Source organism: Homo sapiens, chromosome 1 (genome assembly GCF_000001405.40).
Source record: "Homo sapiens chromosome 1, GRCh38.p14 Primary Assembly".
NCBI lineage: Eukaryota > Metazoa > Chordata > Mammalia > Primates > Hominidae > Homo > Homo sapiens.
The window spans coordinates 67,152,587-67,174,785 of record NC_000001.11 but is presented as its reverse complement, the minus strand read 5'-3'; the positions used below and the strand labels follow the sequence as shown (position 1 = coordinate 67,174,785).

General features: G+C 39.1%; 1 protein-coding gene across 4 annotated transcripts in view, besides 1 other annotated feature; it reads right to left on the bottom strand.

The window, feature by feature from the left end:
• IL23R (interleukin 23 receptor) overlaps nt 1–22,199 on the bottom strand; it is a 127,267-nt gene that overhangs the window by 91,118 nt on the left and 13,950 nt on the right. For 2 of the 4 annotated variants that reach the window (XM_047447227.1, NM_144701.3), the window contains exons 1-3: nt 8,245–8,332; nt 6,596–6,694; nt 5,148–5,444 (exon numbers count right to left, since the gene is read on the bottom strand). In XM_047447227.1, the coding sequence (XP_047303183.1) occupies nt 5,148–5,444; nt 6,596–6,665 (367 nt within the window). In that variant the 5' untranslated portion in view covers nt 6,666–6,694; nt 8,245–8,332. Of the gene's footprint in view, nt 1–5,147; nt 5,445–6,595; nt 6,695–8,244; nt 8,333–13,958; nt 14,000–22,199 lie in introns of those variants that run through there. The other 2 variants (XM_011540791.4, XM_011540790.4) reach the window with 2 other exon arrangements.
• Nucleotides 8,391–8,580: an enhancer, noted in NCBI's record as "active region_1169". NCBI's record gives its function as "activates an Ori minimal core promoter by ATAC-STARR-seq in GM12878 lymphoblastoid cells {active_cell/tissue: GM12878}" and the evidence as "EXISTENCE:reporter gene assay evidence [ECO:0000049][PMID:35858748]".

Genomic DNA, 22,199 nt, shown 5'->3' with positions numbered 1-22,199 from the left:
GATGACATTGAGTTTTGGGGGCCTCTAAAGCCTATGAAACCCCAACAACTATAGAATGACACCTAGAATTTTCAGTTATATCATTCAATAGTGAATAAGATTAAGATTTTTTTAAGTATAGAAATATTGAGTGTTTGTTAAATATTCACTTTTCAGGTGTGGCTCTCTTAGTTCATCCCTACGTGTGAAATACTGCTGGGACACTTGACTGCTCAGAGAATGACAAGACAAATGGAAGGATAGGGGCTCATAAAGAATGAAAATACAGACATTTATGCGTCTGAAGTTACATCCAAAGATTTATCTTAAGTACATATATGCTTTCACTTCACCTGCAAATTGCTTACCAAAAATATTGCTTGTAGAACAATAAACAAATATATTAAAAATTTTATTCTCACTGCAAATCAAGGCAATACTAGATGTCATTCAAGCCTATCAAATTAGCAAGGATTTTGAAAAATGATAGTACACAGTGTTGGAGTGGACTCATGGAAATCCTCTAACACACTTCTGGTGGAAGTACAAATTGGTACAGCCTTTATGGAGAGCACTTTACATATCACAATCTGTAAAAGCAGGTGTAATATTTTGCAACTCAGCAATTATACATCTAAGAATGCATCCTTATTGAAATGTTCATAGATATATAAAATATTTGGCTTAAAGGATGTTCCCTTATTGTTCATAACAATGAAAAAATTGTAAACAAACTTAATTTTCCAAAATAAGGTTAAATAAACTATAATACAGTCCTAAACACATCCAAAAGCAATGTTGAAGAAGACAGTTTAAGTACTTGGCCTTTGGAAGGAATTAAAAGTATATGTAGTGAAGTCATGATCATATGGCAAAGTGAAAAAAGCAGGTTGCAAAATGGTTCAATTAGTGGTTTCATTTAAGTGAGAGACTGAGAAAGAGAGGGTCTGAAATTTCAAAGACATATTCCAAATTATTAAAGAGGGATTATGGTTACTAGTAAAGTTATGGTTTTATGGGAATGATAGGTATTTCTTTTTTGCTGGTCTACATTTTAAAAACTCTCTATATTCAATGCAATTTGATTTTATAATTAAAAAACTATTTTCATATATCGAAGGTCTAATATCCTTTTAAAAAAACCTATATTCAAACAGTAAGAACACACTAAAAAGTACTTTACAACATTTTGGCGACTTGTAGCATTGAGTTACAATGGAGAGAAACTGGGCTCCAAGTAGGGTAAAATAAATCTTTGTTTTAATTGAGCCTTAAATGAAGTAGGTGTGGAAACATAAATTTAAATCATTTTGGAGTTTGAGTTGTGGTCCCTCATTGATTACAATGATTTGTGCTGAAGTTATTTTTTCCTCTGGTTTCAGATACAGAGTGCCATTGATTTGGCTATCAGATTGTTTGGGCTGTGTTACTCCACGGCATCTACATGAAGTGAATTCTTGGGGTTACAAATGTCTGGTGGTCAATTAACTTTGCAAAAGATCAAAAAGATGACTATACACACACATGCAAATAAGTGTTTGTTAACATGAAGCAATGTAAAGATGGGCCTGTGAGTATGCTTATGATAATAACATCAAGTTGTTGTTAGGCCTCATTGCCAGGTTATTCAATATCCAAGAACAAAACCTGGCTATACAACTAGATACTAGAGAATACTCTGAGGTATACAAAAGGGGGCTTATGTTTTTGCTCTTTCTTGCCAATCCCACCCCTCCCCTATTATTGGGACACTCAGGAATCACAGGCCAGGTTTCTTGTTAATTCAGAGTCTAGCCAAGGATCCCTTTCTACTGAGAACTTCTTGAAAACAGTCCGTGATTTCCTCTTCTTTGTACTTCTAGCATTTAACACATTTTTGGTGCATAGTAACCACTCAATAAAGTTTATTCCATGAATTGATTGGCTTGATTAAGATAATAACATGAAGGATTAAAATGGAGAGAGATGCAATGCTTCTGGCAAAGATCACTCTATAATTTCTTACTCAAGCAGGGCACAGGCCAGCCTAATTGTTCCGTAATCATACTTAATAGCAATGTTAGAAACAAATATTCAGAGGCTTTTATTGAATAACAAATGTGCTTTCATCATTGTAAATAAAGTCCAAAAGTTAAAATTTAAAAAGTCAAAGATATTTAAAATTTTAAACAAATGATTAAGTGGAAACATGACTGTGCATGGTTTAATTTGGTATTTTTAAATGAATAAAGACATCTTGTATTTTATCCCATGATTGGTGTGGCCTGATTAGAACAAATTTCCCATAATATGTGTGCATTTAGTCTTAGATAAGAATCTAAGAAGTGTCTAGGATTGTGGCTAAAAATGGAAATTGTGATAATATGGTTTATATTTCACAAATTATACATTAAAGCACAGCACTTTAAAATATATTTGGATAGCTTTTCAAGGAAAGCAATGACTCATTTATCTTGTCTTTTACAATTTGTCTCTAGTCTAAAAAAATACATATAATCATTTTGTTCAAAGCAGTGATGATAAGTTGACATAATAAATCTCACATGACAAATATCCTGTGATCAAAGTGGTCCAGTGAAAGCAATGTGATTTCTAGAATGCCACAAAACCCTCAAAAACCCTTTTTTGACCTACTTAAATAGGAAGTTTTGTTTGCTAAGAATGTAGAGCTCAAGAAGACATTCAGCTTGAATCCAGGGGTTTGAGTAAATTCTCACCTGGCAGTTACATTTTTACACTCATAACCAGAGGCCTATGTAAGGAGTTACAATTCACAAACTCAAAAGTTAAATAAGTGGAAAGAGTGATGTTCTTTCTAAGCAGCCATCGGCAGAGAATGTATTTCTATTAGGCTGTCCTGGAAGAGGAACAAAGTCCATTCTCTTACCTTCTACATTGCCTGGTGTTGGGTTTGGGGACAGAGGCCCCCCAGCCAACACTTGGGAGGGCTTTTGGGAGTAATCAGTTATACAAACTGCAACACACGGAAGGTGGTGTTAAATAAAATGTATAGGAGACCATTGTTTTGGACTGAGCTCCTGCACTAGGCCCCCACATACCAAACCAAAATGAAGTCACTCCTGTTAAGTGACATATAACCAAGCTGAAACTTTAAGGAAGCAGGTAAAACTCCCACAGACTAGTTTTTCCTGAAAACAGAAAATTCACAGCAACCACGTAGAAAGAGCCCAGTCAACCTGAGCAGGGATGATAAGGAAATCCCCTCTGCTTTAACCATTACAAGGAAAATAACCTGAAGTAACAATGTTAACCAATCTGGTAGTTTTTATAAAAATTTCTATTTCTTGTTCCTACCTTACAAAAACCAACTGTTCTGTTAGAATAGTAGAGCCAAAACTAAGTATATAATTATACAAGCCAGCCCATATCACTATAGTAACTTAAACACCTCCAGGACACTCAGAGCACATATCAGTTTTTTAGAAAGAGATGCTGCCGATTCATGAATCACACATAAAAACCTATCAGATCTAAAAACTAAATTTGCTGAAATTTTGTTTTTTAACAGAGACAATGTTTATTTTGCTTCCTTTTTTTTCCTCTGGCTTAAATTAACAACTAAGCTTTTTCTGTAACTGTGAAAGTTGCTTATTTGCCCTCCAAAGAAATTGTATAGTCTCTCTACCCAACTCCCACCCCCAAAGGATAAATAGTAAAGTATTTGGGCATTGAGGTTTGGTTATGTTTCCTGAGGATGTGGACAAGCTAAGAAGATTTCTTACATCAGATAAGATGTCTGCCTGCGGTTTAATTTCCACAATTTAGGGCAAGTTTAGCAGCTTTAAGGCATCAGTTTAAGGTAGATTTATTCTTTGACTCCAAAACCTATGACTTTCCTTCCTCAACTCACCTCTACAACTTTCTATAGTTCCTTCTCTTGAAAAGCTTGCAAGATCAGCTGCTCAGAGTTAAGTAGGACAATGGCCTCATTATAGAGCAAGGAAGCCTCTTACTTTCCAAGCAGCCACAATGGGGTCAGGTGGTAGTGGTGATATGGGTCTGCCCCCCAGCTAAGTTGTAAAGGTGAAGAAGAAGCAAGAACTGAGGCTTGATTCTCAAAAATGTGGAGGACGGGAACATGGCAAAGACACAAATTCCTTTATTTTTTTACTGAAAATGGGTTCAAGTGCTATAGAGAATGAATATCTGAGTTAAAACAGTGCTGAACTTATTGATTTACACCCTTCATAATAGTAGAACCCAAACTAGGTATATAATTATACGAGCCAGCCCATATCACTATAGTGATTTAAACACCTCCAGGACACTCAGAGCACACATTGAATTTAGCGTATATTTTTAAGATTGACTTGACTAAGCTTTTAAATAAATTAATAATTATTCCCTTCAAGGTGGGTTTTAAGAAAAAGAAAAAAATTAATAGTTACAATAACAAACACAGTGATTCTAAATTGGAATAGTGAGATTAGGAACAGAGGACTGTAGGAGACTCTCCCTATGTTTTATCAAAAGGATGCATTTTTAAGGATTTGGGTACTGATGTACTTTAAACTTTATCATATGCTTCCAAATAAATTATTGAAATTAAGTGCATAACACAGCCTGTATAATTAGCCTCCTTTTACAGGCGAGGAATTGAGGCTTAAGCAACTTGTCCAAGGTCACAAACCTAGCAGTACAGTGGGAGCACAAAACTAGTTTTGCAACTCTCCCTAAACCTTGGCCTCAAAATTTCTCAATGGGATCTGCTTCAAGGTTAATTATATTATATTAGTTTAGAAAAATAAACAAGAAGATTAAAAGAGCAACATTTTAAATCTAACGGGGCTGGCCCTCACATATGCAGTGTTCGTTCAGGGTAGAGGTGAAAAATTGTTTTTTGAATGTATTGGCAACATTTTAAAATTTAGAGAGTACACATTAAAATTTTATGTTTCTGTCTTCCTTTGAAAAGCCAAAAGATGTAGGAATACCGGGCACCTGTGATTACTGGATCTGGGCAGTGGCTACAGTTCATATAGTTCACCAACCTGGCCCTGGAGACATTTGAGTTTGCAGCTCCTGTATGAAACTAATCTAAAAACTGAACTATATTATTTTGTCCCTATTTTTAGACTAGTGTGGTAATGACCAGTTAATTGTTAAACTAGCTTTTGTTTGCATTTCAAATGTGCCCCAACACTTACATCCAGAAGAAATGTCTTTTCCACATATCAGTGTCTCTTGAAAATGTTTGGGACATTCAGCAGTGCAGTACATAGAAGCATGTGGTTCCAGAAAGTTTTTATACCAAAGCCGAGCTGTTGTTTTATTAATCCTTGTGATTTGAAATCTTTCTTTGATGCCATTTTTATAAAAATGAAGTTTCCTTGGTTGGCAGTTCTTAATTGCTGCTTGGCAATATATAGAGATATTCATACCCATCTTAAAAATTGTGGCTGGTTCTACCCAGATGTGGCCAGAGCAGTTTATATTTGTAATTCCTAGAAATAAATGGAAAAATAATAAATTACACGTAAAACATTAAATCAAGAGATTCAGAAGAATATGCTATTGCATTTTAAATTTATCATTTCTATTAACTAAATGATTCCATTGAAAACAGTTTTAGGACTAGATGTATCTTTTCATAAACTAGCCTATTACAGTGTGTTTCTGTTAGGCTTTTTTTTTTTTTTTTTTTTTTGAGACAGTCTCATTCTGTCACCCAGGCTGCAGTGCAGTGTTGCGATCTCGGCTCACTGCAACATCCGCCTTCCAGGTTCAAGCGATTCTCCTGCCTTAGCCTCCTGAGTAGCTGGGATTACAGGTGAGCACCACCACGCCCGGCTAATATGGCGTTTCACCATGTTGGCCAGGCTGATCTTGAACTCCTGACCTCAGGTGATCCACCCGCCTCGGCCTCCCAAAGTGCTGGGATTACAGGCATTAGCCACCTCGTCTGGCCTCTGTTATGCTTTTATTGATGTTCAGCACCATGACACAAGACTAGAGTCAGCCTGGAAGCTTCTCTAAGTGTCTAAAGAGCAAATATAATTAGCTCTCCTACTTTAAAGTAGAGAACCGAGAGATTATAAAGCTACAGTATTTTTCAAAGGTAAGATTAGAAATAACACTAGGCACTGTAGAATCTGAACCCCATTCTCTAGCTACTCAACCAATCTTTTGTTCTTTTTTAGATAAAGCCTACTTTTTTCAGTAAAGTTTGAATATAATGAATAAAATCATACTCTTGCCAATGGCCCACATAGTTACTATGTGCCCGGCACAAAGTAACTATCAACAAGTGGTTTGTGAAATAGAATTGCATCCAAATGTTTGACAGGTAATTATATAACAGTTATAATAGTTTGACAATAGAACATGCCAACTCAAACTAATAAGCTCCTTTGTGGAAATATCCACATGTGAGTAAGAGGGCTGTCTAGAAGGGAAATTTGAGAAAGAAATCCTGCATTTGGAAGGAGATTGGGCCATTTTTATTTCATTCTATGTAATTTTTATGCACACATTTTTTCTAGTCTAATAATATTTGTATTCTTCAGAGATTCTAACATAAAACCATGAAAATGATAATCACTCAATATTCCATTTGTTGAATGAAAGATAGCAATAGATACATAAAACACCATACCTCCATGACACCAGCTGAAGAGTATGTAAAGGGCTATTACTGCATCCCATTGAATAGTGACCTGATTCATGTCTGGAAGCAGGAAAAGACTGTTTCCCTCTGGAAAAAAAATATGAAAAATGTTTAAATTGTAGTATTTTAGTAAAATAATAAAAAGCATAACATTTTTCCCTAAGAATTATTGTATTTGATGGGAACCTTTGATTAGGGAGGAAGAAGGAAAGAAGGAAGGAAGAAAGGAAGGAAGGAAACAGAGCAAAGAAATGTTACTGGTATATTTAGGAGATATAACAAGAGATGGAGAAGTAAAGCAAATAAATGGAATTTTATACTCTTCAAAAGTCACTATGAATTAACTCAGTAGGGCATTTGATCCATTACAGTGCCTCCTAATCTAGCCTTTCTCATCAGAAACCTCCTCCTCTGAGTTAACTTCTTTTTTTATTTTATGTTTTAAATTTTTTTAGAGACAAGGGCCAGGCTCTGTAGCCCAGGCTGGAGTGCAGCGGCATTATCATAGCTCACTGTAACCTCAAACTCCTGGGCTCAAGCGGTCCTCCCAACTCAACCTCCCAAAGTGCTAGGATTACAGGCATGAACCATGGTGCCTGGGCTGAGCTAACTTCTGGTGATGAATTCTTCTCCCTGCCAAAGTTACATACTTATCACACTCCAGAAATACTAGTCTTTGATGAGCTAAACTTGGGAAGAGCCAAAAATTTCAGAACTCCCAGAGAAAATGGATTCAAAATTAAGAAAAGTGAAGTGAGATTAAGCAATATGTGCTCTCACCAGTGAGACTCTAAAAAGCGTTTCATCTGGGGAGGCGTGGTGGCTCATGCCTGTAATCCCAGCACTTTGGGAGGCAGAGGCCGGTGGATTGCTTGAGCCCAGGAGTTCGAGATCAGGCTGGGCAACAGGGTGAAACCCTGTCCCTACTAAAAATACAAAAATTAGCCCAGTGTGGTGGCATGTGACGGTCATCCCAGCTACCCGGGAGGTGAAGGTTGCAGTGAACCATGATCACACCATTGCACTCCAGCCTGGGCGACAGAGTGAGACCTTGTCCCCCGCACCCCCTAAAAAAGAGGAAAAAGCCTTTCATCTGTAGAGAACGCGAAAGGAACACGTTATAGAAATTCCTAATAATACCGTTGTTAGTTTACAACTAGAGTTACACTATTTGATTAATCAGTTACATGAATTAACTCATTTACTCAATGATCAACATTATTCAGTTATTTTATCTGTTTAATAAAACCTGAGCTTTTTCTATAAAACTACAAGAGAACGCAATGCATGGCTCATCATATCGCATAAAATATCTAGTAACATTTAAAAAAACTGGGGTCCCCTTGGCTCAGAAATATAGGGATCCCTTTCATTATTTGTTAGCAATAGTAATTCTTCTCTTCATAAGAAGCAACAGAAGCCCTAAAAATGTTCCTAGTTAGAAGTTAACTGATGGAAATATGCAATAATTATTATTTAAAGTAATGTGATGCCATATAATATTATAGATTCCCTTTTCATCAGTAACCACTGCATGGAATATCATGAGAACTTGCAAGAGAAAACAACTTGGCCCATGTATTTCCAAAAGGAAATATAGCTGTCTTTAAGTATTTGGATGATCGCTGCCTATTTACCTTTCAACCTGTTTGAAGCACATAATTCCACTTCAGAGCCAGGCTGCCACCCTTGTTGGCTGTGTCATGTCTTCTTTCCTCACTGCCTGCCTGTCAGCACTCACTTTAGATTTTCACTTCTGAGGTCAATGGAAATGTCAGCAGAGCCCTGACCTACATTGCAGACTCTTGAAGAGGAACTCAAACTGTCCAATTCGAAATGACTGGCTCTCGTGTCACTATTTGGGGAAATCCAGATTACTGAAAGTGAACTGTTTTGTCGGTACTTTTTTTTTACAGCTTAATTTAAAATGGTCTCATCCAAGAGGCAGAACACTTATACATGTTTTCTTAAAAATGTCAAACATTTTGACACCAAAAATATGACGCTTAGTTTTAATTTACAACCAGCATTGTTATTAATTATACACTTGTTTCTTTTTTTAGTTTTCCAGCTTTGTTGAAATATAATTGATGAATAAAATTCTACAATTTGATGATATACAACATGATGATTTGATACATACATATTTTGTGAAGTTATTATACAATCAAGTTAGTTAATACATCTCTCATCTTATTTAGTTACTCTTTATTTTGCAGAGAGAACATTCAAGCAAATTTCAAGTATGCTGTATAATTCAGTATTGTTAACTATGGTCACCATACTGTATATCAGATCTCCTGAACTTACTCATCTTATAACTGCAAGTTTATGCCCTTCGACCAATAGCTTCCTTTCCCTCCACCACCCTCTAACCTTGGTAACCACCATTCTATCATCTGTTTTTATGGGTTCAACTATTTCAGATTCTGCATATAAGTGAGATCACGCAGTATTTGTCTTTCTCTGTCTGGCTTATTTCAGTTAGCATAATGCCCTCAAGTTGCATCTATGTTACCGCAATGGCAGAATTTCCTTCCTTTTTATGGCTGCATAATATTCCTGTATAGCCTACAGATTCTTTACCAATTATTCCACTGATAGGCACTTAAAATGTTATTTCCATGTTTGGGCTATTTTGACTAACGCTTCATGAACATGGGAAGGCAGATATCTCTCATGGTGCTGATTTCATTCTGTGGGGGGACTATAGATCCAGAAGAGGGATTGCTGGATCCTAAGGTAGGTCTATTTTAATTTTTTAAATAAAATTGTTTTTATTTCACACTGTTTTCCATGATAACTGTACCAATTTACATTCCTAACAGCAGTGTACAAGGCTGCCCTTTCTCTGTACCCTCAGCAATACTTATATCTTGTCTTTTTATCATAGGCACCCCAAAAGGTGGGAAGTGATATCTAATTGTAGTTTTGTTTTTTGGTTTTGGTTGTTGTTTTTGTTTTTGTTTTGAGACAGAGTCTTGCTCTGTCACACAGGCTGGAGTGCAGCGGCGTGATTACGGCTCACTGCAACCTCTGCCTCCTGGGCTCAGGTGATCCTCCCATTTCAGCTTCCTGAGTAGCTAGCACCACAGGCACATGCCATCACACTCAGCTAATTTTTTGTAGTTTTGGTAGAGATGGGTTCTCACCATGTTGCCCAAGCTAGTCTTGAACTCCTGAACTCAAGCAATCTGCCAGTCTTGGCATCCCAAAGTCCTGGGATTACAGGAGTGAGCCACCACGCCCAGCTCATTGTAGTTTTGATTTGTATTTATGTGATAATCAGTAATGTTGAGTACCTCTTCATATACTTATTGGCCATTTATCCGTCTTCCTTGAAAAAAAAATCTATTCAGGTCCAGAATCGCCTGATGACACATTTCTTAGAAGGTATCCCAGTCATTAAGCAACATATGACTCCAACACTGTGTGGAGAATTGATTGAAGATGAAGAGCCCAGTTAGGAGGCTATGGAAAATCAAGAGCTGATTTTTGTTTTATTTTATTTTATTTTATTTTATTTTATTTTATTTTATTTTATTTTGTGACAGAGTTTTGCTCTGTTGCCCAGGCTGGAGTGCAATGGCACAATCTCGGCTCACTGCAACCTCTGCCTCCTGGGTTCAAGTGATTCTCCTGCCTCAGCCTCCCAAGTAGCTGGGATTACACATGTGCCACCATGCCCCGGTAATTTTTTTTGTATTTAGTAGAGACGGGGTTTCACCATGTTGGTCAGGCTAGTCTTGAACTCCTGACCTCAGGTGATCCTCCTGCCTTGGCCTCCCAAAGTGCTAGGATTACAGGCGTGAGACGCCTCACCCGGTCTGGTTTTTTGTATTTGTTGTAGAGATAGGGTTTCACCATGTTGGCCAGGCTGGTCTCGAATTCCTGACCTCAAGTGATCTGCCCATCTCAGCCTCCCAAAGTGCTGGGATTACAGGCGTGAGTCACCGTGCTCTGCCCAAGAGCTGATTTTTAAATCAGATTTTCTGGCCTTTATTGTTTTTGTTTTTGCTATTGAGTCATTTGAGTTCCTTATGTATTTTGGATATTAACCTTTTATCAGATAAATGATTTGCAAATATTTTTTTCCCTTCTGTAGGTTGTCTTTTTATTTTGTTGGTTGTTTTCTTTGCTGAGCTTTTTAGTTTGATATAGTCCCACTTATTTATTTTTGCTTTTGTTGCTTGTTTTTTCAGTGTCATATCTAAAAATATTTTTACCCAGACCAGTGTCAAAGAGGTTTTTCCCTATGTTTTATTCTAGGAGTGTATTAGACTGTTCTTGTGTTACCATACAGGAATAACTGAGACTTGGTAATTTATAAAGAAAAGAGGCTTAATTGGCTCACAGTTCTATAGCCGGTGCAAGCATGGCACCAACATCCGCCTGGCTTCTGGTGAGGCCTCAGTAAGTTTACAATTATGGCAGAAGGCAAAGCAGGAGCAGGTGCATCACATGGAGAGAGCAGGAGCAAGAGGAGCAGGGGGAGGTGCCACACACTTTTAAACAACCAGATCTCACCTGAACTCTGAACGAGAACTCGCTCTCATCATCAAGAGGATGGCACTAAGCCATTCATGCAGGATCCGCCCACATGATCCAAACACCTCCCACTAGGCCTAACCTCCAGCACTGGGGATTACATTTCTTTTCTTTTTTCTTTTCTTTTCTGTCTTTTTTTTTTTTTTTTTTTTTTTTTTTTTTGAGACAGGGTCTTGCTCTGTGGCCCAGGCTGGAGTGCAGTGGCATGATCTCTGGTCACTGCAACCTCTGCCTCCTGGGTTCAAGTGATCTTCCTGACTCAGCCTCCCAAGTAGCTGGGACTACACACACCTGCCAACACGCCTGGCTAATTTTTGTATATTTTGTAGAGATGGTGTTTCATCATGTTGGCCAGGCTGGTCTCAAACTCCTAATCTCAAGTGATCTGCTCACTTTGGCCTCCCAAAGTGCTGGGATTACAGGCATGAGTCACCACACCTGGCCACATACATCTTTTGACTCATCCAAATGATGGTATCTGTAGCAGCTGCTCTTTTCTTCTCAGTGTCCAGCACCTCATGGCTCATTCAGCTTTGTTGGAGAAAAAAGATTGAATCATCACCATTTCCTGTGAGGTGTGCATTAAAAGCCAATGTTGACTTATTTCCTAAGAGCTTCTTAGAGACTTTACAACGCCAGTAAGTGAAGGTAAATTCAAAACCTTCAACATACAACTCTAGCTCTTGAAGACTGCGTGCACACCTTTAAGGAGGTCAGTTTTCAGATTCTCAAATTCCATATGTGCTCTTTCCTAAATCTGATTTCCTTGAAAATGAGCCGGGGTTCACAGTAATCATTCTCTAAATTCATAGTGAATAGCATCCCTCCATCTCAAATCTCATGTAGTGCATTGCCTTGGGTGTAAATAGCTCCAGAATATCAAACAAATGGATAAATGGAAATACTGGTTTTAGGGAGGGCTCCTTGGATAATTAATCAAGGTATTTTAAACATCCAAGACTTTAAGCCTTTTCCTGTCATATAGATATATGTGAAGCTCACTAAAATATTTCTATTTCAGCCCATGCTGGGATACTCAGAATTTTAGCCAATTCAGGGATATTTGAGCCCATTTTGGATCTCTGAATCTAGGATATCGAAGGAATATGGGAGACTTATGGCTATCCTCTTGAACATAAATGGGATTTTTTTTTCTTTCTCTGTCTCCCAGGCTGGAGTGCAGTGGCGCGATCTCGGCTCACTGCAAACTCCACCTCCCAGGTTCAAGCAATTCTCCTGCCTCAGCCTCCTGAGTAGCTGGGACTACAGGCTACATGTGCCACCATGGTGCCACATGTGCCACCATGCCCAGCTAATTTTTTATATTTTTAGTAGAGATGGGTTTCACCGTGTTAGCCAGGATGGTCTCAATCTCCTGACTTCGTGATCCGTCTGCCTCGGCCTCCCAAAGTGCTGGGATTACAGGAGTGAGCCATCGTGCCAGGCCATAAATGGGATTTTTGATGAACCATTACTTTTTTTTTTTTAAACATTGGATAAAATTTATATGTAAAATTTTACTTGATTTCTTTCAGATTTGGTTAACTTTATTCAATAAGATAGTAAAAGGCTATTTTATCAAATCATATCATGGCATATCTGTGTCTTTAACAGCCTCGTCTTAGTTTTTTCGTCTTTGAAATGTTCAATCACTCTATTATATTTAAAAGAAAGTAAGTTTATTTAGAGCTTTAAAAATATTTTGGGCCTGGAATGGTGGCTCACGCCTGTAATCCCAGCACTTTTGTTGGCCGAGGCAGGTGGATCGCAAGGTCAGGAAATCGAGACCATCCTGGCCAACATGGTGAAACTCCATCTCTACTAAAAATACAAAAATTAGCCAGGCGTGTTGGCTCATGTCTGTAATCCCAGCTACTTAGGAGGCTGAGGCAAACGAATCGCTTGAACCAGGGAGTCGGAGTTTGCAGTGAGCCGAGATCGCGCCACAGCACTCCAGCCTGGCGACAGAGTGAGACTCCATCTCAAAAAAACAAAAACAAAAACAAATATATATATATATAGTATTTTAATTCTAAAATATGCAAGGGAGTACGTAGTTTGAAAATCTTCTTTTAAGAAGACTCAAGGAAAACATTTGAAAGACCACTGCATTGAAGCTCAACTTTATAAGCCAAACAAAAACTATATGTAGAAAAAAATACAACAAGCTATCAATAGTAGTTTTCTTTGGATTATGGAATTATGATTTTTTTCTTCCTTTTGCTTTTCTATAACTTCCTATTTTTAGGAGGAGTATATTATATGTGATAATTTGTAAATAATTTATAAAATACTGAACACATTAAAGACAAGAAAAACTTCAAGGAAAGGAACGTAAATAGAGGATTCTTCCTAGTCAATTCTAGAATATGAGATAGCTGCAGGGAATTACTGACTGGCCTACTGATGTACGATTTCACTTAGGCAAATTCAACTATGAGTGGAAGGGGAGAGAAAGATTTTATCCCATTAACTTCCCCTTCCCGCTTGTTCTGTCTGCTTCAAAATTGACCTAGAGCCTCAGTGACTGTAAGTAAAAAAGGCCATTTCAGAAATGCAATGATAATAGTTATTGTTAACAGTGACACATTATTATTACTTATTAGTATTATTGTTTGGATGGAAAATTGGTATCAATTGCTATAAACAATAGCTGATGATAAGGTAAATAAGGTTTTATTGATTCACTCTTGCCAATCAATAAGAAAAAATCTTATGAAGTCTTTCATAATGTCCTAAATACTTTTAGAGAATTTTTCAGATAAAGAATAGAGCTCTGCTAGCTGGGCATGGTGGCACATACCTGTAGTCTTAGCTGCTTCTCAGGAGGCTGAGGCAGGAGTATTGCTTGAACCCAAGAGATAAAGGCTGCAGTGAGCTATGATCATGCCACTGCACTCCAGCCTAGGTGACAGAGCAAGACCTTGTCTCTTAAAAAAAAGGGGAACAAAAAAGAATAGAGTTCACATGATCAAGGTGCACACCCATCATTCTGTTTTGCAGATCTTCTCATTCACTTGGCCTTCACATATAATGTAAGTGTGCATTCTAATAGTGATTGTAAGTTGTCCAAATTAACAAAGATATCAATAAGATAGTCTGGTTTGCAAATCTATTCATACAAACAATTCTAAAACATGAGGATTTTCTCCAGAAAGATTTAGGGTGCCATCTATTCAAATGAAAGAGTGAGGACCCATCTGCATAGAAGCCAATGGTCTTCAGTGGTTTTTACAATTCAATTGGCAATTTGAAAAGTACCATTTAAACACTTCTCTCCAAACTTCAAGTGCATTCTCAGGTATTTTCTGTTTTTGTTTTTTGCTGGTGTATACAACAGTGACTAGATTGTGTTTTCAAGCAATCATTTTAATACTTCAGTACTCAACAATTGTCAGCTTCTCAAAGTCATATTTCAATTTAGTGCTGAAAATAATGCAGGAATGAGCTTGAAAATTCAGTTCATGAGAACGTACCAGGCTGGGCGCGGTGGCTCATGCCTGTAATCCCAACACTTTTGGAGGTCAAGGTGGGTGGATTGCTTGAGTCCAGGAATTTGAGACCAGCCTGGGCAACATGGTGAAACCTCATCTGTATTTTTTAAAAATAAATAAATAAATATTAAAAATTTAAAAACATACTAGTGAATAGCATCATCCAAGTTATACATTCTTATGAACAGTTACAGGAGAAAATTCAGTCCCTGCAGGTGTATAACAATCATGGGCAGGTCTGAGTCTTCTTCTGTAATTAATGCGTCGTACAGATTACTACAGCTCTACCTGCTTTAGCCTCATCCTAATAAGTCATATCCAGAAAATCACATTTGTGATATGCTGTTTTATTTTTCCTGATACACATTAAAATAAGCATATGGCTATTAAATAAGAATGTTTATGTAGCATCTATCACAGACACTATCATAGCATGCTACAGCCTCAAACTCCTGGCCTCAAGGGATCCTCCAGCCTCAGCCTCCCAAGTAGGGACCACAAGCATGCACCACTGCATGAGAATTATTATTTATCATTTTGGTCCATCCATCTTTGTCCTGACTTATATACTTGTATTAGTTTGTTCTCACACTGTTATAAAGAACTACCTGAGACTGAGTAATTTATGAAGAAAAGAGGCTTAATTGACTCACAGTTCTGCAGGTTTAATTGCAGAGGTTTAATTGACTCACAGTTCTGACTCACAAGAAGCATGACTAGGAGGCCTCAGAAAACTTACAATCATGATGGAAGACGAAGGGGAAGCAAACACCTTTTTCACATGGTGGCAGGAGAGAGAGCGAGCAGGGGAAAGTGCCACACACTTTTAAACAATTAGATCTTCTGAGAACTCACTCATTATCACTGATAGTGATAGTCTCACTATCAATCACTGATAGTGATAGTCTCACTATCAATCACTGATAGTGATAGTCTCACTATCAATCACTGATAGTGATAGTCTCACTATCAATCACTGATAGTGATAGTCTCACTATCAATCACTGATAGTGATAGTCTCACTATCAATCACTGATAGTGATAGTCTCACTATCAATCACTGATAGTGATAGTCTCACTATCAATCACTGATAGTGATAGTCTCACTATCAATCACTGATGATAGTGATAGTCTCACTATCAATCACTGATGATAGTGATAGTCTCACTATCAATCACTGATAGTGATAGTCTCACTATCAATCACTGATAGTGATAGTCTCACTATCAATCACTGATAGTGATAGTCTCACTATCAATCACTGATAGTGATAGTCTCACTATCAGGAGAACACCAAGGGTAAAATCTGCCCCCATGATCCAATCATCTCCCACCAGGCCCCTCCTCCAATTTCACATGAGATTTAGGCTGGCACACAAATCCAAACCTTATCAATACTTATCTACTTTTGAGGTAAGAGATGGTACTTCACTCCAGAGGCAGGACTTGGACACCAGACCAAACTGAGGACTAGCTAAAACAGGTCCAAAGCAAAGTAGCTTTCCATAAGACACGCCCACCAGCATGCCATGTCAGTTTACCATTACCATGGCAACACCTGGAAGTTACCACCCCTTTTCATGGCAACAACCTGTGAGTTGCCACGCTTTTCCTAAAAATTTCTGCATAATCTGCCCCTTAATTTGTATATGATTAAAATTGGTATAAATATAAGTTCAAAACTACCTCTGGGCACATTGCCTATGGAATAGCCCTTCTCCACAAGAGCAGTATCTCTGCTGCTGCTGTCCAATTCTACTTCATTACAAGTTTCTAGTGAACACCTCCAGCTCACCCTTGAATTCTTTCCTGGGTGAAACCAAGAACCCTCCTGGGCTAAACCCCAGTTTGGGGGCTCACCTGTCCTACATTACTTTTACAACATTCATTCATTCAAAAAATATTTCTTTTTTTTTTTTTGACATGGAGTCTTGCTCTGTTGCCCAGGATGGAGTGCAGTGGCACAGTCTCGGCTCACTGCAAACTCAGCTTCCTGGGTTCAAGCTATTCTCCTTCCTCAGCCTCCCAGGTAGCTGGGATTACAGGCCCCCACCATCATGCCCAGCTAATTTTTGTATTTTTAGTAGAGATGGGGTTTCACCATGTTGGCCAGGCTGGTCTCCAACTCCTGCCCTCTGGTGATCCACCCACCTTGGCCACCCAAAGTGCTGGGATTACAGTCATGAGCCACTGTGCCCAGACTCAGAAAATATTTCTTGAGTGTGTAATATGTTCCAATAATTATTCTAGCACTGAGGATAAAGGGGTAAACAAAACAGACAAAAGTTTGGTCCCCATGGAGTTTTCATTCTAGTCTGAGAAGAGAGACAGAAAGTAAAATACAATATTAGATGGTGATAAGCACTTGGAGAAAATTAAGTGGGAAAGGTAGACAGCAAGTTTAATATGCTCGGAGAAGATCACTCTGAAATACAATATTTGAGCAAAGATCTAATAGAAGCGAGGAAGCAGGCCATGGAGTTAATTTGGACAAGAGCATTTCAGACAGACAGGAGATGGCGAAGAGTAAGAAAAAGAGTTCAAGGATCAGTATGGAGGCCGGTGTGGGAAGAGCAAGAGGAGAACAGTAGCAGATGAATAAAAGGAAATGGGGGTCAGAGACGTAACTGCAGTGAAGAGTAGTGGACAGTTGTGTAGGGAAGCTCTTTTGATGGTTGAGATGGGAAGCTGTTGAAGGGTATTAAGCCAAGAAGTGAAAACAATTTTATTCTACAGATTCTGGCAAAAGTAACTAGAAAGGTTGGGTAAAGTGGCCATTAACTGAGATGGGTAAAACTTTAAAAGGAATATATTTTGTAGAGGAATGGGGAAGGAAATGAATAATTTGTTTTGGAACATGTTAAATTTGAAATACGGGGAGGGGCCAAGATGGCCAAATAAAAACAGCTCTGGTCTGCAGCTCCTAGCAAGACCAATGCAGAAGGCGGGTGATTTCTGCATTTGCAACTGAGGTACCCAGTTCATCTCATTGGGACTGGTTATGCAGTGGGTGCGACCCATGGAGAGAGAGCAGAAGCAGGGTGGGGCGTCGCTTCAACTGGGAAGTGCATGGAGCAGAGGGACGTCCCTCCTCCAGCCAAGTGAAGCGGTAAGGGACTGTGCTACCTACCCGGGGTACTACACTTTTCCCACGGATTTTTTGCAATCCACAGATCAGGAGATTCCCTCCTGAGCCTACACTATCAGGGCCCTGGGTTTCAGGCACAAAACTTGGCGGCTGTTTGAGCAGGAACTGAGCTGCAGGAGTTTGTTCATACTCCAGCAGTGTGTGGAATGCCAGTGAGACAGGAGAACCATCCACTGCCCTGGAAAGGGGGCTGAAGCCAGGGAGCCAAGTGGTCTCGCTCAGCAGGTCCCACTTCCATGGAGCCCAGCAAGCTAAAAACCACTGGCTTTAAATTCTCACTGCCATTACAACAGTCTGGAGTCTGCTTTGGGATGATCAGTTTGGTTCATGGAGGGGCAGCTGCCATTACTGTGGCTTTAGAAAGCGGTTTTCCCCTAACAGCCCTAAGGAGACTGGGAGGTTTGGACTAGACGGAATTCACCAAGGTGCAGCAAAGCGACTGTGGCCAGGGTGCTTCTCTAGATTCCTCCTCACTGGGCAAGGCATCTTTGCAGGAAATACAGCAGCTCCAGTCAGGGGCTTGTAGACAGAACACTCATCTTCTCCCTGGGACAGAACACCTGGAGGGAGGGGACAGCTGCAGTCACAGTTTCAGCAGACTTAATCTTTCCTGTCTGCTGGCTCTGAAGAGAGTGGCGGATCCTGACAAAAGGAATTCTCCCAGCACAGAGCACCAGCTTTGCTGAGGGACAGACTGCCTCCTCAAGTGAATCCCTGACCCCTGTGCCTCCTGACTTGGAGAGACCTCCCAACGGGGGTCGACAGACACCTCATACAGGAGAGCTCTGGCTGGCATCAGGCTGGTGCCCCTCTGGGACAAAGCTTCCAGAGGAAGGAACAGGGAGCAATCTTTGCTGTTCTGCAGTCTCCACTGGTGATACCCAGGAGAATAGAGTCTGGAGTGGACCTCCAGCAAACTGCAGCAGACCTGCAGAAGAGGGACCTGACTGTTAGAAGAAAAACTACAAACAGAAAACAACAACAACAATATCAACAAAAAAGATGCCCCCACAAAAACCCTATCCAAAGGTCATCAGCTTCAAAGATGAAAGGTAGATAAATCCATGAAGATGAGGAAAAACCTGTGCAAAAACACTGACTCTTCCAAAAGCCAGAATGCCTCTTATCTTCCAAATGATCACAACGCCTTTTCAGTAAGGGCGCAGAACTGAACAGAGCATGAGATGGACGAATTGACAGAAGTAGGCTTTAGAAGGTGGATAATAACAAACTGCCAAGATAAAGGAGCATGTTCTAACCCAATGCAAAGAAGCTAAGAACCTTGATAAAAGTTTACAGGAGCTGCTAACTAGGATAACCAGTTTAGAGAGGAACATAAATGATGTGATGGAGCTGAAAAACACAGCATGAGAACTTAATGAAGCATACACAAGTATCGATAGCTGAATCAATCAAGTGGAAGAAAGGATATCGGAGTTTGAAGACCACCTTGCTGAAATAAGACACACAGACAAGATTAGAGAAAAAAGAATGAAAAGGAATGAACAAAGCCTCCAAAAAATATGGGACTATGTAAGAAGACCGAACCTATGATTGACTGGAGTACCTGAAAGAGACAGGGAGAATGGAACCAAGTTGGAAAACATATTTCAGGATGTTATCCAGGAGAACTTCCCCAACCTAGCAAGACAGGCCAACATTCACATTCAGGAAATACAGAGAGCACCACTAAGATACTCCATGAGAAGATCAATCCCCAAACACATAATCATCAGATTCTCCAAGGTCAAAATGAAGGAAAAACTGTTAAGGGCAGCCAGAGAGAAAGGCCAGGTCACCTACAAAGGGAAGCCCATCAGACTAACAGCAGATCTCTCAGCAGAAACTCTACAAGCCAGAAGAGAGTGGGGGCCAGTATTCAACATTCTTATAGAAAAGAATTTTCAACCCAGAATTTCATATCCAGCCAAACTAAGCTTCATAAGTAAAGGGGAAATAAAATCATTTCCAGACAAGCAAATGCTAAGGAATTTCGTTAACACCAGGCCTGTCTTACAAGAGCTCCTGAAGGAAGCACTGAATATGGAAAGAAAAAAACCAGTACCAGCCACTACAAAAACATGCCAAAATATAAAGACCAATGACACTATAAAGAAACTGCATCAACTAACTTGCAAAATAACCAGCTATCATCATGATGACAGGATCAAATTCACACATAACAATATTAACTTTAAATGTAAATGGGCTAAATGCCCCAATTAAAAGACACAGACTGGCAAATTGGATAAAGAGTCAAGACCCATTGGTGTGCTGTATTCAGGAGACCCATCTCACATGCAAAGACACATTGGCTCAAAATAAAGGGATGGAGGATTATTTACCAAGCAAACGGAAAGCAAAAAAATAAAAAATAAATAATAAAATAAAATTTAAAAAGACAGGGCTTGCAATCCTAGTTTCTAATAAAACAGACTTTAAACCAACAAAAATTAAAAAAAGACAGAGAAGGGCATTACATAATGGTAAAGGGATCAATACAACAAGAAGAGCTAACTATCCTAAATATATATGCACCCAATATAGGAGCATCCAGATTCATAAAGCAAGTTCTTAGAGACTTACAGAGAGACTTAGACTCCCACACAATAATACTGGGAGACTTTAACACCCCACTGTCACTATTAGACAGATCAACGAGACAGAGAATTAACAAGGATATTCAGGACTTGAACTCAGCTCCAGATCAAGTGCACCTAATAGACATCTAAAGAACTCTCCATCCCTAATCAACAGAATATACATTCTTCTCAGTGCCACATGACACTTATTCTAAAATAGACCACATAATTGGAAGTAAAACACTCCTCAGCAAGGCAAAAGAACTTAAATCATAACAAACAGTCTCTCAGACCACAGTGCAATCAAATTAGAACTCAGGATTAAGAAACTTACTCAAGGCCGGGCGCAGTGGCTCACGCCTGTAATCCCAGCACTTTGGGAGAACGAAGCGGGCAGATCACGAGGTCAGGAGATCGAGACCATTCTGACTAACATGGTGAAACCCTGTCTCCACTAAAACATACAAAAAAAATTAGCTGGGCTTGGTGGCAGGCGCCTGTAGTCCCAGCTACTCGGGAGACTGAGGCAGGAGAATGGAGTGAACCTGGGAGGCGGAGCTTGCAGTGAGCCGAAATTGCGCCACTGCACTCCAGCCTGGGTGACAGAGCGAGACTCCATCTCAAAAAAAAAAGAAAAGAAACTCACTCAAAACCACACACTACATGGAAACTGAACAACCTGCTCCTGAATGACTCTTCGGTAAATAACAAAATTGAGGTAGAAATTAAGAAGTTCTTTGAACGCAATGAGAACAGAGAGACAATGTACCAGAATCTCTGGGACACAGCTAAACCAGTGTTTAGAGGGAAATTTACAGGACTAAATGCCAACATCACAAAGCTGGAAAGATCTCAAATCATCACCTTAACATCACAATTAAAAGAACCAGAGAAGCAAGAGCAAACAAATTCAAAAGCTAGCAGAAGACGAGAAATAACTAAGATCAGAGCAGAACTGAAGGAGATAGAGACACAAAAAACCCTTCAAAAAATCGATGAATCCAGGAGCTGATTTTCTGAAAAATTAACAAAATAGACCGCTAGCTAGCCAGAGTAATAAAGAAGAAAAGAGAGAAGAGTCAAATAGACACAATAAAAAATGATAAAGGGGATATCACCACTGACCCCACAGAAATACAAACTACCATCAGGGAATACTATAAACACCTCTATGCAAATAAACTAGAAAATCTAGAAGAAATGGATACATTTCTTGACACATACACCTCCCAAAACTAAACTAGGAAGAAGTCAAATCCCTGGATAGACCAACAAGAAGTTCTGAAATTGAGGCAGTAACTAATAGGCTACCAACCAAAAAAAGCCCAGGACCAGATGGATTCACAGCCAAATTCTATCAGCAGTACAAAGAGGAGCTGCTACCATTCCTTCTGAAACTGCTCCAGACAATTGAAAAGGAGGAACTCCTCTGCAACTTATTTTATGAGGCCAGCATCATCCTGATACCAAAACCTGGCAGAGACACAACAAAAAAAGAAAACCTCAGGCCAATATCCCTAATGAACATCAATGCGAAAATCCTCAATTAAATACTGGCAAACCGAATCCAGGAGCACATCAAAAAGCTTATCCACCACGACCAAGTTGGCTTCATCCCTGGGATGCTAGGCTGGTTCAATATACACAAATCAATAAATGTAACGCATCACATAAACAGAACCAATGAAAAGAACCACATGATTATCTCAATAGACGCAGAAAAGGCCTTTGATAAAATTCAACATCCCTTCATGTTAAAAACTCTCAATAAACTAGGCATTGATGGAATATCTCAAAATAATAAGAGCTATTTATGACA